Source organism: Homo sapiens, chromosome 2, assembly GCF_000001405.40.
Source record: "Homo sapiens chromosome 2, GRCh38.p14 Primary Assembly".
NCBI classification, from domain to species: domain Eukaryota; kingdom Metazoa; phylum Chordata; class Mammalia; order Primates; family Hominidae; genus Homo; species Homo sapiens.
In genome coordinates this window covers 84,195,492-84,212,698 of record NC_000002.12, presented here as the reverse complement: position 1 = coordinate 84,212,698, position 17,207 = coordinate 84,195,492, and the positions used below count along the sequence as shown (strand labels likewise).

The following is a 17,207-nucleotide window of genomic DNA, read 5'->3' as shown; positions in this document are numbered from 1 at the left end:
GAATGGTTTTGTGTTCAAACACATTGAAAAAAACTATGGTAAAATTTTAGAAATATGTGTAAAAATTTAAATTTCATAAAAAATTACACAGGACAGCAAAAGTTTCCAGGTTGAAATCCTCCGTTTTTCTGGGCAAAGATTAAATCACCCATACAACTGATTGCTTTTAGTAAATTCTTGCTTGTATAAGGAATTTGCTTCTGGAAGTACCCTGTACCCCTGCATTATTAATTTTTTTAACTTCTGCTGGATCGTTTCCAACAGCAAAGATACTAAAATATCTTACATCTCTTTTTTAAAAAGTTATAGTCTCCCCATTACTCTCCAGCTAATACCCTATTTTTCTGCTTCCATTTATAGGTAAACTATGACAGAAATTTGAACAGTATCTCTGTGTTCATGCCCTGGGAGTTAGGACTGATAGGGACAGATTTAGTGTCAGAGCCGTGCATAAAAATCCTGGATTCTGGAAAAATCTCAAAGAGGGGATGTGAGTATGATTTACATAAGATAGCAGAGCGGCAGTTCAAAATTACAGATTGGACATACACAGTGGCCTGGAAGTGAAAAAAGGAGAATGGCCTTACATAGCAAAGAGGGGATGGGAAGCAAGGAGGTGACACAGTAAGCCTGAACTTTTTTCTAACAGCTTGCCAATGTAGAGAAGGAAAGAGATAAAGTCATACTTAGAGAGCCTGGGAGATCAATTTGAAAAATATAGGGCATTATTTAGCTTGGATAAAGTTTGGACAATTGGGCCTTTTGGAGGAAAAGAATGAAGTTATTTAATTAGAGTTAGCTGATTTGACTGTGTGAAATACTTTCTAGTCTTTCAATCATCAGATCGATTTTCTGATTCTACTGCCTAGGAGTTGGAGGTGGGATCGCATACATCACAGAGAGTTTCTTTTCTTTTGTTACCAGAATCACATATAGTACCACTAAGTATCCTGACAATCAATGTCAAGTTCAAATGGATCACTGTGTAAGGTATTGATTTGGCTGGCCAACTATCATGGTTGATTAAGGGGCATTAAAAATAGGTAACCACTAAATTTTTATTTTATCCAATGCATTCTCCTAGTATTGCAACCATAGTACAAGAAATCTCACCATGAGAGCTGATCTAATAAACAAGAATGCTGATCTTAGCATATTGAATAATTGAGTTATCTTGGATTTGGAAGTCTCTTTAGTCTAATTCATGATCTAATTTAGAAATCTATTATGTCATCACCATATAGCCTTAGTTTGTGCTTACCTATGGGGCACTTACTCATTCCCAATCTATTTTCTTCCATGAAGGGAACTAATTGTCATTTGAGTTAACCAGAACAGCTTGCTGTTACTTAACAAAGATGAAGGCTCTCAGAGAATAGGTATCAAGGAAATGGGTATGAGAATAAAAAATGATTTCTAGAATGCTGCCCAGGGAGAATCTACTTAAGTGAGGCACAAGAGCGAAAGCAGAGGATAAAGGTTTTGACTTTATTGGTTAGAGTATCATTGAAGGAACACAAAAAACATATTGTGGGTTTTTTTTTTCATCATTTCCCCAGCTCTGGCTCTGAGTAAAAGAGTCCCATGGCTCCAGGCCTAACAGAATGCTTGGCACATAGTTGGCACTCAACAAACATTTCTTGACTAACAAATATCACTTAACAATGTGCCTGCTATTTAAAAACGTATTCTGTAGAGTGAAAAAGCCCTGGGTTTAATTGCTGGCTTTACCATTCACTCACTGTTCCTCCTACCCCACTAACTCTCATGATCTTTTTTGTGAAATGGATTTATTGATCATATGTATCTCATAGAGTCTATGAAATATATACAAATACACATATGCACACTTGTAGGCATCTCTATCTCCATTTCCTTCTCTATCTCTTTAAAGAAAGATAAAACTATGCTTAAGGAGTACTTACATGACAGGCACTATTCTAAGTATTTCCCATAAATTAACTAATTTAATCTTCACAACAGTTCTACGTGTAAGATAATTTCACACATGAAGAAACAGGCACAGAGAGGTTAAGTAACTTGCTCAGCTAATGAGTGGCAAGCTGGAATTTGAAGCCAAGCAGATTAGCTCTTGAGTCCTTACTCTCAACTACTATATCACCTTTCCAAGGTAATGCATATAAAAATGTATAATACTTGGCTAGCACAATTTTTCCTTTTTTCTACTGTTACTATTACTTTAACCTCAAGTTAAATTCTTGTTATGGCTTAGGAGATCCCCAGAAAATGGAAAGAAACAAGACATCCTAAATTGAAAGCCTGGGGTAGACAGACCCCCATCTCAGAGGACACAAACGGTAGCATGTTTTGGTAGTAACCGCTGCTTCTACAGCATAGCTTTGAGTTTTATCAAACGTAATTATGTAGCACACCCCTTAGGGAGAAGCCAATTTTCTTGGGTGCTCAGTACAGCATCCAGGGTAGTGCACGTACTTGACAGTTTACTTCCGAAGTGATTATCACACTTGTGTTAATCTATCAGTGGCAAATGACCCCCAAGGATTCACAGAGACTGAACAATGCAGTGCAAGATCAATATCATATTTCACTTTGGCGGCAGTGGATGTCTGGGATAGCTGAGTAGGATGAGAGTGAAATGAGCTATTGGATTATTGAGCGAGTCTCCTCTGGAGTCATCCCGGGATTCATCAGATATTAACTAGGAGCTGAATTTTTTGTTGACCATAGATCTAGAATGAGATAAAACGTCTTTTATTTGATAGCTGATAAAGTATAACTTATGGAGCATGATGTAATTAATGAGAAGTTTTCTTGGTTATAAAGAAAAGAAAAACTTCTATATTGTGGTAGTAATTGATTATGTGTTTATAACTCTGAGTTTCCAAACTTTTAAAAATGTATTATATTTCTTCTCTAGCATGTGTATTCTTACTCCTTATTCTTCTCAGTACTTTTGGAGGAAAAAAATAGTTAGCCTAGATAATTTCTCTTCCCCTTTTGTTCTTAGCATTAGATTACAAAGGTTAGTTATTTAACAAGTATTTGTATTTTGCTTTCTCTGTGCCAGGCTCTATGGTAGGCAGAGTTGATATGAGGCACATTCCCTATCATTAAAGAACTTGCAGTGAAACAAAAACAACTGGGTATCCTGGAGCCAATTCTACTGTCTAGAATGACTGATGCTTCAAAAGGAAGTGAGAGCCGGGTGTGGTGGCTCACTTTATGAAGCCAAGGTGGGCGGATCATCTGAGGTCAGGAGTTCGAGACCAGCCTGGCCAACATGGAGAAACCCCATCTGTACTAAAAATACAAAAAATTAGCTGAGTGTGGTGGCATGCACCTGTAGTCCCAGCTACTTGGGAGTCTGAGGCACGAGAATTGCTTGAACCCAGGAGGCAGAGGTTGTGGTGAGCCGAAATTGCGTCACTGCACTCCAGCCTGGGCGACAGAGTGAGACTCTTAAAAGGAAGGGGAAAGAGTGTGAGAGGTGAAATGGCTAAAATTTAAAAATCCTAAGTGTATTAGGATTCTCTAGAGGGACAGAATTAATAGGATAGATGTATATATGAAGGGGAGTTTAAGCAGTATTGACTCACATTATCACAAGGTGAAGTCCCACAATAGGCCATCTGCAAGCCAAGGAGCAAGGAAGCCAGTCTGAGTCCCAAAACCTCAAAAGTAAGGAAGCCAACAGTGCAACCTTCAGTCTGTGGCCAAAAGTCCAAGAGCCCCTGGCAAATCACTGTTGAAAGTTCAAGAGTCCAAAAGTTGAAGAACTTGGAGTCTGATGTTTGTGGGCAGGATGTACCCAGCATGGGAGAAAGACAAAGGCTGGAAGACTCAGCAAGTCAAGTCCTTCCAACTTCTACCTGCTTTTATTTTAGCCATGCTGGTCAGTGATTAGATGGTGCCCACCCAGATTGAGGGTGGGTCTGCCTCTTCCAGTCCACTGACTCAAATGTTAATCTCCTTTGGCAACACCCTCACAGACACACCCAGGAACAATACTTTGCATCTTTCAATTCAATCAAGTTGACACTCAGTATTAACCATCACAGTAAGGAAGATGTGCAGAAGAGGCACTAGCTCATAAGGAATCTGGCCCATGTGTTGTGTGTGTGCGTGTGTGTGTGTGTGTGTGTGTGTGTATTCGTGTGCGTATGTGGTATAGGGGATGGATCTGAGAAGTTCTTTTATTCCACCAAAACACCTGAGAACTGACTCAGGAGCAAATGTTGGGAGAAGCAGATAATTCTGTATCAGTCAGGATAGGATACATCACACATTGGTGACAAACAACTCTCAGATCTTAGTGATTTATTACAGCTAAGGGCTTTTTATTGCTCATACTAGCTGTCCATTTTGGTTCGGCTGAGGCTTCTGCTTCAACATTTCCTGACTTTTGGATCCATGCTGATAGAAGAGACAACATCTTAAATGCTGCCAGTTGTTACGTCAGAGGGAAAAGAGAATGAGTTTCTCGCACTGGCTGTTAAATGCTCACCATTTATTGGCCAGAACTAGTAATGCTGCTTTGAAGAACCAGAAATGGGCTGGAAGTATAATATCACCATGTGCTATGAAGATAGAGAGCTGGAAATATTTGGTCAACAGCATCAATGGCAAAATCAAGTTTCTGCAGAACATGGAAGAAGGAAGTCAGATGCTAGTGAAAAAGAGTTCAGGTTCTTTTCCCAGGGCCAAGAAACGGAAGTAAGGGCTGGCAAGATGAGCACAAGAGGAAGCAACATGAGGACAACCAGATTCTAATCCCAAATCAGCAGCCTGACCAGGGACAGACCTCTGAGTCACAGTTTTCTTTCCACGGCCAATTTTATAGGACTGTTCTGAGACAGAAATGATATTAACATTTCATGCATAAGAAGAGTAAGGTAAGCCCAGTGTGGTGGTTCACGGCTGTAATCCCAGCATTTTGGGAGGCTGAGGCCAACGAATCACTTGAGGTCAGGAGTTCGAGACCAGTCTGGCCAACATGGCGAAATCCCATCTCTACTAAAAATACAAAAGTTAGGTGGGCATGGTGGCACACACCTGTAATTCCAGATATTCCAGAGGCTGAGGCCGGGTGCTGTGGCTCATGCCTGTAATCCCAGCACTTTGGGAAGCTGAGGTGGGTGGATCACCTGAGGTCAGGAGTTTGAGGCCAGCCTGGCCAAAATGGCAAAACCCCGTCTCTACTAAAAATGCAAAAAATTAGCCGGGTGAGGTGGCACATGCCTGTAATCCCAGCTACTCAGGAGGCTGAGGCAGGATAATCGCCTGAACCAGGGAGGTGGAGGTTGCAGTGAGCCGAGATCGTGCCATTGCATTCCAGCCTGGGTGAAAGAGCAAAACCCCATCTCAAAAAAAAAAAAAAAAGGCTGAGGCAGGAGAATCCCTTGAGCCTGGGAGGCGGAGATTGCAATGAGCAATAGAGTGAGACTCTTGTCTAAAGAAGAGTAATGTAATACAGTGAGGAGCATGTAGAGTTTTCCTATTCTCCTTTTTCTCTGCTGTAATGTCTTCTGTTGTATCCAAGATAGTGTATTCTCTCCAAGGTAAATGAGTGAAAACTGCTTGAGTGTTTATCTCAGGAAGTGGGCAGGCCTGCATCTGCAGGGAGAAGGAAGTTTGCAGCTGAAGGAGACGTCAGTGGCAGTGGTTCTCATTCAGGGAACGCTCTAACCTGCCAAAAGTGTTTGGGTTTGTGAAGGAAGCATTTTGGACATTTGCAGTGATTAGGGTACACGACTGACATTTGGTAGGTGTTAGATAAGGATGCTGATTGTCCTGCACTGAGCAGGACAGTCCTGCACAAAAAATAATTGCACCACCCCAAATACCAATAGTAGAGAAAAACCGGTAAGGGAAGAAGCAGCTGTCAGCCACAGAATATAAAAGCTCTGTAATTTAGGATGGCTTTGAGCTCCACAGAGACTTGCCACGAAGTTGCTAGACTCATAAGAATGTGATTTTAGCTTTCCTTTTCCACTTAGGTGGCATCGCAAACAGTGATTGGTCAATTCAATACTGGTGAGTGAATGTCCCAATTACTATGCTCCTGGTTCTTGCCCAGCTCTTGCACGACAATATTCCTTAAGATAGCTAGAGGCTTAAAAGGGAGATTTAGGTAAATTCACAGATGGTATTCTTAGCAAGTTAAAAAGGGTAGATAGGAACATCTAGTAAATGTAAAATTCTTCAAGTCAGCATCAAGAGTAGCTACTAATACCTTGAGCCCTGTTAGAAACAAGACTCTTTCCTGTAGGCACAGAGCCTGGTCCTGGGTCTGGGTCCTAGGTCTGCTTGCCTATGCCTTGCCTTCTCTCCCAACTCTACTGTTCTTCAATATCAGGCTCAATTATGCTTCAGCAAGGAAACTTTGACAGAGAACTGAGCAAACCACAATCTCTCTGTCTTTTAAAATCCTGCCTCGTTTATCACCTGAAACATTCATCTGAATGTCTGCTTCTTCTAAGAGATCTTAAACAAAAGATGAGATTTGTATTAGGAGAATTTATTCTGCAAGTGGAAAGAAGGGTGGCAGTGAGAGATAAGAACCTGAAAATTCCAGATATAGTCAGTTCTTCTATAATGCTTGTTTTGAAGACACAAATTTGTTTCAACAAGATTGAAATATTAGGAGGTGAACTGAGCACAATGTGATTTTGCATTTTCTTTCACAGTTTTGTCCACAGGGAATGCTGGATGAATGCAGAAATTGCACTCTGTTGTATTGGGCTATGGAAGAATTCACAAAATGAGCATGTGCATGTCTACCAGCTCTGTCAGCTCACTATGTGTATTATCAGCTGTATCCCTCCACACCTGACCTTTCCACATTGTCTGATTTCAACTAACCCTCCTTCCTCCATTTCCCAGTTACTTGCAAGCTACAGCCTTCCTAAATTCACATACATAGGCAAACTTCAGGTTTTTTTCAAGATAAGGAGTCAGATTTTTTGCAATATTTACTAGCCATTTAACTTGTGTAAAACTACCATTTTTATTTGGTTCCTGTCTTTTGTTTACATGTCATGGACAACAATTTTGAATGTTGTGCTCCCATTGTCTTCTTAGACCCTGTCTGATTTCACATTGTGTGATTTCAACTAACCCTCCTTCCTCCGTTTCCCAGTAACTTACAAGCTGCAGCCTTCCTAAATTCACATACATAGGCCACTTCAGGTTTTTTTTCAAGATAAGGAGTCACATTTTTTTGCAATATTTACTAGCCATTTAACTTGTGTAAAACTATCATTTTTATTTAGTTCCTATCTTTTGTTTACATGTCACTGACAACATTTTTAAATGTTGTGCTCCCATTTTCTTCTTAAACCCTGTAATTTTTCTTGTACAATTTTGCATAGCATGGTGATGTTCAGGAATACTATATTACATTATAACAGAACTGACTGTAGTTTTGAAATTCAAGTTTTGGGATGCCAGGTTAATATTGCTGTGAGGAAGAGAAAGTGGGACACAACTTTTATTCCACTAATTATCCCCAAGCCCCAGATTGCGTAATACATAGTAAAGGGCTTTATCAAACGGGGACAAAATATAGATGCTCTGGGGGAAAATACTATGCATCTGTACGTTAAATGTACATTAAATAATTAAGAAATTACCCTCTTAGGTCTACTCTTATCTTCATGGACTTTTTTTTTCTTCTTTTCATGTGTCAGAGAAGAGAGGTGACCCTTCTTCAACTCTGTAGGCATGCCACAAATTCCTGTATGGACCCATTCCCATGGTGAGTTCTTGATCACTCTTCTTAATTTATGTCTTCAAGACATGAAACTGAGTTATTTCTTTACATATTTTTAACAAAGTCTAGAACAGGTACTTAACAGTATGAAGACAATAAATAATCACCCTGTTTAGTTTTGAAATTACATCTAAAATCCATCTTTTGCCTTGAGTAGTAAGACAGTGCAAATTTTGGGAAAGGTTTTGTTTCATATAGCCAATAAAATTGTGTCCCTTTAAAGAATAATAGAAAAGTATAAGAGTTAGAGGACAGGGTTTATTTCGAGGCACAGGGAGTCTTTTTTTTCTAGCTCTAGCTTTCTGTCTACTCTATCTGCTCTTGGCTTCTCCGTATTCTGTCTTGAGCATCTATCATTTAGTCAGGCTGCATCTTATCCTTACAGACTGGTCAAAACCCTGAAGAAGGTACAGATTCTTTCAGGGAGTTTACAATTTCTGGGTGACTATTGAAAAATGAAAAAGCCTTCAAGATTCAAAGGAGTAAATTTCTAATAAAATTCCAGACATTGTGGCAGGTGTTTCTGAGTTTTGTCTAAGGATTGAAGGCTAATTAAAATGAGAGTTGCTGTTAAAGACAGATATATATCTAAAAAAACCTAAAGCACATAAAAAATGGGTCAATAGTATTCATAGATTAAAGAGGGCACGTGGGGACCATTAAGTGCAAGCTTTTGGAACTCTGTTTAGAGATTTCCTTGGTGGGGTGGCACTCAGAGGAGCAGAAAGGCCAAAAGCCATGTTTTAACTTAGATCTATATGCATTTATATGAGCTTTCTTTTTAATAAAGGGTTAAGCACTTTAAAAGTGTTTGCAAACCAGTGGCTTAGCTCCATGTTTCTGGGGCTCCCAAAAGCTCAGTGCTTTTTTCCATCAATTGTCCCTTGGGAAAGAAGTTCCTTAAAGTCAGGAGACTGAGCTACCTGGCATGCTAGTGACTCAGAGTAGAGTTTAGTCTTGGTGAGTAGGAGAAGGAAGAAAGCAACTAATGTTTATTGATTACTAATAATAGGCAAGACAGTGGGCTGTGAACATTTTCCATTTTATTGTTTCAGTAACACAAGAAAGTGGCTGTTATTATCCCCATTTTGTAGTTGAGAAGACTGAAGCTCAGAGGTTAAGTCCCGCATCCCAGGCCACAGGATTCAGCAGTTACAAAGCTTGTATGGAGTATAGGCCTTTTGTCTTTTAAAAAAACCCAATTCTTTCAACTTTTCATCATTGTGAAGGGAGAATTTTTGGGATAAAAGAAACAAGACATGTGATGCTGTGTCTGCTGCCAGAAATCTCACCTGAGGCAGAGACTAAGAACCACTCAAAATTACTGTCCACCTGGGTAGGTAACGATTCCTTATTTGAAAGGTCACTTGGATTTTCCAGCCATAGTTGACAGTTTGTTTCACTGCGAGTATTGCCTCCGGTTTTCATGCCCCAAATGTGATGGCATTTCTACTTACCACTAGCGTACATGGTGTTGTTTTCTTTCCTTGTGGAATAACGGATTCACATTTTAATGGTGAATCTGCCTTTGGCTAGCTCATTTCCAATCACAGCACTCGAGGCTTTTCCTGGCTCTTCATTCCTGGGAAACAAGGTGCTCTAGGAGGGATGGAGGAAGCAGATGTTAAGCTTCAAAAAAAGAAGCTGAATTCTGCTTCATTGTCTCTGCAGTTATTTCCATTTTCTTTCTGTCTCTCCTGGTTTCTGTCTTTTCTGCTGTTCTTGTAACATCCACCTTAGAGCCTGTATCACTGAAGCTTCAACTTCAGGGGCATAAACAAAAATCCCTTTTCATCTACAGGTAAAACATTTTATGGTTTAGTAGAATTTTTATAATATGGCCAAGAAGAAAATGGTCATGTGACTAAAATGTACAATTGCATGTGTGTATAGAGATAGCGTGTCACAGAGAATGGCACCCTGAATCCACATTTGGAAGGAGAAAGATGGTTTCACACACACCTTCTCCATTTCTCTTTTCATCTTAGACCAGGAACATTCCTACGAATTCTTTGTACAAATGTGGGACTTTTGATGGGTTTTTTTCGGGGATCTGAGACATTTGAATTGTACATAGATGAAAGTAATTGAAGAGAAAATTACTACATGATAGTAGAACTAAAATGTAGAGTCCAGTTTTCTTCTTTCTGACCACAGCAACAAGATTCCTTTTAGCATTGAGTCCTAATTCCTGGTCAGAGGGAAAAGGAAGCCTTTTGCATGAGATTTTTCACTGACTGGACTCTCTGGTAATTAGGCCCATAACACATTGTCCATGTTGCCCACCTGGTGAGGGCCTTTATGATGGAATACATTTCTTTTTATCTTATCATTTTGTGTGGGTTGTTAGCTTCATTTTGTGTGGGTTGTTTGAAGATAATGTCCTTTATTTGCTCCCATTTGCTAAGAAAATTGTTTTCTGTGGTTCCTCTAGATTGGATGTGGGGCTACCAGGCTATGGGGAGCACACACATGGATGTAAGTGATTTATTAGATGCCAAGATGTTGAGGGTGACTCAGTACATCTAGGGACTTTGAACAGGGCTCCCTGGCACGTACTATTTATTGCAAGCTCATAAGAATTTACAAGATGCAAGCAGAGTGCCCACAAAGAGAAACATCAAAAGCATTCCCCTTTTGCCTCCTTTGAGAACAGTGCTGACTCTTTCTTTTGGATCCCGGGTGATACGGTTGACAACAGGTAGCTGAACTAAGATGGGGCTGAAAAGAGGCAGTCATATGGAAGGAAGTGTAATCCATCGTGCTTTTGAGCAATGTCAGTGCCATCATTTTTTCCCATTCTCAATGTGTGTCAAGAGCATCATGAGGTTAATTAAGTAAATCCTAAGATTTCTAGGGCAGATTGGCTTCAGAGTGGCCATGGCTGCTTATCAGGAGAAAAGCCCTGGAGTAGTAACATCAAACATTTTTGTACAGAAAGCAGCCTTAGGTGAACCCCAAGGCCATCAGGGTCTCAGTACATAGAGATTTCCCTGTTCACAAGTCATCGATTCATTCAACAAGCATTTATGAATGCCTATTTTGTACCAGGCACACCAGGAAGAAAAGAGATCTGGAGGTGTTCCTCACTTACCGAAGTATCATTCATATATATTCTTTAGGAACTTGAGCAGCTGCCAGATGAAAAAAAATCTGGAAAATAATAAATCTGAGATTAGATATTTTGGAGGCCATGGATAAAAAGATCATCTGTGTTGTCACATATCCCTGCTGCAGGCTGAATATTTACGTCTCCCCAAATTCTTAGGTTGAAATCCTAAGCCACAGTGTGATGGTATTTGGAGGTGAGCCTTTGGGAGGCCATTTGGTCATAGGGATGGAACCCTCATGAATTGGATTAGCAGCTTCATGCAAAGAATCTCAGAAAACTTCCTCTCTTTCTGCCATTTGAGGACACAGTGAGAAAATAGCTCACTGGCAAGGAAGCGGGCCCTTGCCAGACACCGAATCTGCTGGTGCTTTGACCTTGGACTTCTCATCCTCTAGAACTGCAAGAAGTAAATTTCCGTTGTCTATAAGCCACACAGCATGTGGTATTTTTATTATAGCTGCCTGAAAAAAACAAGACACTTCCATACCACAGACCACAAACTGTAGAAAAGCAGAAGCATGAAGAGACTCCCTGGTTTCTTCCTGCCTCATCTCGCAGGGTTCTTGGTGCTGTGGGCTCCCATGGGATAGAGGGTCTTTGAGGCAGCTGAGATGCATAGGGTACTGTCCCATTTTCTAGAGTCAAAGAAAGTGAAACTCATTCTCGAGTTTATCCAATTTTAAAGGGAAAGGGGAAGAATAAAGGAAGGGAGGAGAGAAAGTATGAGCACAATTAGAGAAATCTGTGTCAGCAACCCTGTCAGATTACCCAAGGACGGCAGAACAGGAATCCCTGGGTTCTCAAGCAAAGTCTTCTGCCTGGGTGGCACACCAAAGGCATCCTTGTCATATTGCATTGGCTTTAGGAGCCTGGAGAGTTATCCAGTAAAGACAGCTTGCTGACAAAAACACAGTGGAAATGTTGGGAGTCCTGGGGGAGCCCCCAGCAGTCACATGAGGTGGGGCCGCAATGTCTTTGAGCTTCATGTTACTGGAGTCAAGGTGCCTTTCCTATCTCTTTCTCCTTAGAACATGGATATTACCAGATGCCAAGAGTCTGCAAAACAGCAAATGAAGCTCCCCAGAGAGAGACAATAAGAACTCCCCTTTTCTACCAGTTCCAATAAGGGTTCTAAGAAACCCTTATGGATGTGGGCTTTTTGATGAAGTTAGTGGGTTTACCAACACTAGGCCAAAACATGGTTGCCAATGTGTCTAGAATTTCTAGGACCCCATAGTCTGGGGCTCCTTGCCACAATCTTGGGCCTCTGTTGGGGCATCATCCTATGAACTGCTGGGATCCTCCTCTCAGGCCCACCTCTCTAAATGTTTCCTTCTGCTACAGCAGAATCCACCACACAATTGGACACAAAAATTTTTCCAGTTGCCAGAAGCAGCACATCGCTGAGAGCTGGCATCCTGAGGGACCACCTCAGGGTTTATGGATTCCCTCCTGACATGGAGGTTTGTACTCCCCTGCCATCTTTCCCTCCCTACCCTGAGGTTTTGTTGAGAAAGAGAGAGAGAGAGAGAGAGAATACCACTGAATTTCAGCCTCTTATTTGCCCTTCTGAGTCTCTCTTCCACCTTCTCTCAGCAGTGGAACCGTCTCCTTCTTTCTGAATAATCGGGCTTCCTGTCCATTCTCTCCACCCCATGGCTCTATCCTTAAACTAAAAGTATTGCTCTTGATATAGAGAAGGAATCTTTTGGAATTGAAATGTCATTTTCTCCTTCAACACAGCTAGGCTGTTAGGATTATTATTTCACCCTAGATTTCAAAAACCCTCTCTGAAATTCAGTGCCGAGCAAGAACCTCTTTATTTTCATTTGGCTCCTCCCTCCCCTAAACAACAACAGGGCAATGATACTCATAAAAAATGGGGGACATTTTAGTTTAATATCTCAATGTATTATTACTGAAATGAAGTTTATGAAATACTCAAATGCTAATTGGTTAGCTTTCAGATTCCTGAGAGAATCTGCAGGCTCTTCTGAATGCTAAGGCATCTGGCCTTTTAAACAAGCTGGAAAAAAGAGATACATACCACCAACAAGCATATGAAAAAATGCTCAACGTCTCTAACCATCAGAGAAGTGCAAATCAAAACCACAATGAGATACCATTTCACAGCATTCAGAATGTCTATTATTAAAAAGTCAAAAAATAACAGATGCTGCTGAGGTTGCTGAGAAAAGGGAATGCTTACACACTGCTGATGGGAATGTAAATTAATTCAACCATTGTGGAAATCAGTGTGTCAATTCCTCAAAGAACTTAAAACAGAATTACCATTCGACCCAGCAATGCCATTATTGGGTATATACCCCCAAAATATAAATCATGCTACCATAAAGACACATGCATGTGTATGTTCATCTCAGCACTATTAAAAATAGAAAAGCCATGGAATCAACCCAAATGCCCATCAACAGTAGATTCGATAAAGAAAATATGGTACTGACACACCATGGAATACTATGCAGCTATAAAAAAGAATAAGATCATGTCCTTTGCAGCAACGTGGGTGGAGCTGGAGGCTATTATCCTAAGCAAACTAATGCAGAATCAGAAAACCAGATACCATATGTTCTTACTTATAAGTGGACACTAAGAGGGGAACACTTGGACACTAAGAAGGGAACAACAGACACTGGGGCCTACTTGAGGGTGGAAGGTGGCAGGAGGGAGAGGATAAAAAAAAAACTACCTATCTGGTACTATGTTTATTACCTGGGTGACAAAATAATCTGTACACCAAACTCCTGTGACATATAGCTTTACCTATATAACAAACCTGAATATGTACCCCTGAACCAAAAATAAAAGTTAAAAAACATAAGCTGAATGCCATGTTTCTCAAGCTCCAGTAATGTGCCACACATTCCTGTTACAGTGTTATTATACACTGTAGTACAAACTTCTTGTGCTTGTAGCTCTTGACTCTGAAAGAACTATTAAATGGAGAAAATGCACCAATTTTATACAAACAATTCAACTGCTATTTTAATAATATTCAGAAAAATACTATTATTTGGATATGGCTGATAATGTTTTCCTGAAACTAATCTATGACTTAAAGGTGAAAATGGCACTGATGGCTGTGGTTTGGGTTGTTGGATATTATGCACTTGGGAAGATGTTTCTACTGTGGTGGGCAAAGATTTAATTCTCCTATTTGTTTGTGTCTGAGCTACTTAAACCTTGGTTTATCAAGTACATCAGTTCCCCACTTGGTTCAAACACCTTCTTTTCACATTAAAGCTGTTAGTGTTTTATTAGCCACAGCAATTAAAAATTGCACCTAGCACATTTTAATTTTCATGGTGTTAATACAAAAATCCCTATGATGGGCAGACTTTTAAGAGGGTCCTTAATACCCACTCCTATTGATATTCACACCATTGTATAATCTCCCCTCCTTGAATATGGATTGGACCTGGTGGCTTGCTCCTGATAGAATATGGCAAAGATTATAAGATGTCACTTCTGTGGTTGGTTACAGTAGTTTGTAACTTCCATCTTGCTAGCAAACTCTCTCTAATGCCTTTCTGGTTTGTCTACTTTGGTGGACCAAGCTGCCATTTTGAAGTGGTGCACATGGCAAGGGACTGGGGGGTAAGCCACCAGCCAACTGCCATCTGGCAACCCAGATCCTCAGTCCAGCAGCCCATGAAGAACTGACTCTTTCCAACAGTGACGTGATCCTTCCCCAGTTGAGCCTTGCTATGATTGCAGCCCAACTGACACATTGATTGCCACCTGAAAGGGACCTTGAAGCAAAAGACCCAGCTGTGCTGGGCCCAGATTCTCAACCAACAGAAATGGTGAGATAAGAAATGTCTGTTGTTTTAAGCTGCTGACTTTTGGGGTAATGTGTTGTGCAGCAACAGGTAATGAATACAATTAGTTTAGTAAATAACTTAAGACACTAAAGTCTTATTTTGTGGAAATTATCTTTCAATGATACATGTAAAACAATCTTGCCTATAAAACCGTAAGAAAATTCAGGGTTAATATAATGGGAAGATGTGGAATGTAAGTATATATATATGTATTTAATATATATATTTTATATATTAAAATATATAAAATATATATTTAATATATATAAAATATATAATATATATATTTTATATATATTAAAATATATAATATATATATTTTATATATTAAAATATATAATATATATATTTTATATATTAAAATATATAATATATATATTTTATATATTAAAATATATAATATATATATTTATATATATAAATATAAAATATATATATTTTATATATTAAAATATATAATATATATATTTTATATATTAAAATATATAATATATATATTTTATATTTAAAATATATAATATATATATTTTAATAATTAAAATATATAAAATATATATTTTAATATATAAAATATATAATATATATATTTTATATATAAAATATATAATATATATATTTTATATATAAAATATATAATATATATATTATATATTAAAATATATATATATTAATATTAAAATATATATATATTTTATATTTAAAAAATATATATTTTATATATAAAATATATATATTTTATATATTAAAATATATATTATATATATATATTTTTACATTTGAACATACGAACCTAAATTCTGCCAGAAGTGTCTATCAAGATGTCAAATATAATTGTACTTTTGGTGATCATATTTGGTGATTACATGAAACCAACTTGATTGGGGCAGCTATTTGCAAAAGCAGGAACTAAAAATGTACATATTAGAACTTGTGGAGCTCTGAGACCATGTTTAAATAATACTGGGCTAGATTATCGGACTAGAACTAGAGTAGGTAGTAGAGATTACCATTGTTTCACATTATTTCACTAGAGAAAGTTTAAATACTTCAATGTAACAATCGCAGAATTTGTGTATTCCCAACTTATTTTTTTTACTTTAATAAAATAGACAGCTACTTTATATTCTTGGCCTGGAACCGTCTCCCACACTGTATTAGGAGCGTGTCTGCCAAAAGTTGTTGACTGTTGGGTGAGCAATCTCAGCAATTGTATTGCAAGTTTTTATTACAGTTAAGATTTCTGTACTCCTCTGTGAGGTATAGTTGTGCTTTTCTGGACTTACGTCATTTTCTACAAGTAAGTGGGAACCTACCAGAGACTCCAGCAGTGTTGTTTATTTTATAGTGCTTTTTAATATAGCATTGGAGATTAGAAAATCAATCTTTTATATTTCCTTCCCCGTGTGTGTTTCAGGTCTATGTAGATCAAGAACTGTGTACGAGGATGCATGTAGAACCTCCATGACATGCTAGAGAGCTGGCACTACTAAGATACTGCTGTTAGGGCATGTTTAGTGGTGTTACCCAGGAAATGTCATCGTGTCTATATTTCTATTCCAAGGGACAATGTTTTTCCAGTTCAAAAAGCTTTGCTAAAGTTCCATTATGGAATAGTGACACTATGTATCAACAATGCACAGAAGGAATTAGGACACACAGCATTCATACGCAAAAAGGTAAGACAAAACCAGCACCATGCCCACAGAAAGAATGGACATCCAGTGTCTGAAACATCACAGGAGCTCACAGTCTGTGGGAGCCCCATTGCTTTGGTACCACTTGAAGCCTCTGGAGAGAACTCTGCCTTGCAAGTAGTCCTCCTAAAGAGCCAGGGCCCCATAAGCCATGGCCAGCAGGAAATCACTTCTTCATTTGCTGAGATTGGCATCTGTCCCAAACCCTCCTCTTTGTGGTAGTCAGCAGAGCTCAGTGCTGTGTATGCATCGTTCTAGAGAATGCACCACTGACAGGATGGGGAGATGCTCACTGAAGGAGTTTTGTAACAGGTATTTATTTTTTACGTAATAGGTGCACATATTTTGTGGGTTCTGTGACAGGGAGATTTTTAATGGTCACACTCATGCAAAAGTACCTCACAAGAGAAAATAAGGGGGAGAGTACCAGGGCCCAGGAAGAATAAAACCTGGGACTCAGTCCTGACACTGCCTCCTATCAATCCCAGGAATCTGAGCAAGTTCCTAAAATGTTCTGCACTTTAGTTTGTTCACCTGAAATATGAACACAGTGTTAAGGGAGGTCCTACTTTAACATTCTTTTATTAGTCCATTTATGTATTCATTCACTAAATAGTTATAGAATGTCTGCAATGTGTGTGACACTAACTTAGGCACTGTGTATAAGACAAAAAATATTTCCTGCCATAATAGAGAGGATCAAATAAAATATTTGATTAAAAAAACCCCATAAACTTTAAGGCACAGAAGACATGTAAATTATCATGATGATATTAATAATGCAATGTCTTACATCCTCAGAC

The 17,207-nt window shown here is 38.9% G+C and overlaps 1 long non-coding RNA gene across 1 annotated transcript in view; it reads left to right on the top strand.

Moving 5' to 3' along the window:
* The window catches only part of LOC107985905 (uncharacterized), a 134,425-nt gene extending 118,159 nt beyond the window's left edge, over window positions 1-16,266 (top strand). Inside the window, exons 2-3 of the long non-coding RNA XR_001739572.1 lie at window positions 7,671-7,738; window positions 16,125-16,266. This is a non-coding gene — a long non-coding RNA (uncharacterized LOC107985905). The remainder of the gene's footprint in view (window positions 1-7,670; window positions 7,739-16,124) is intronic.
* The last annotated feature ends 941 nt before the right edge of the window (window positions 16,267-17,207 follow it).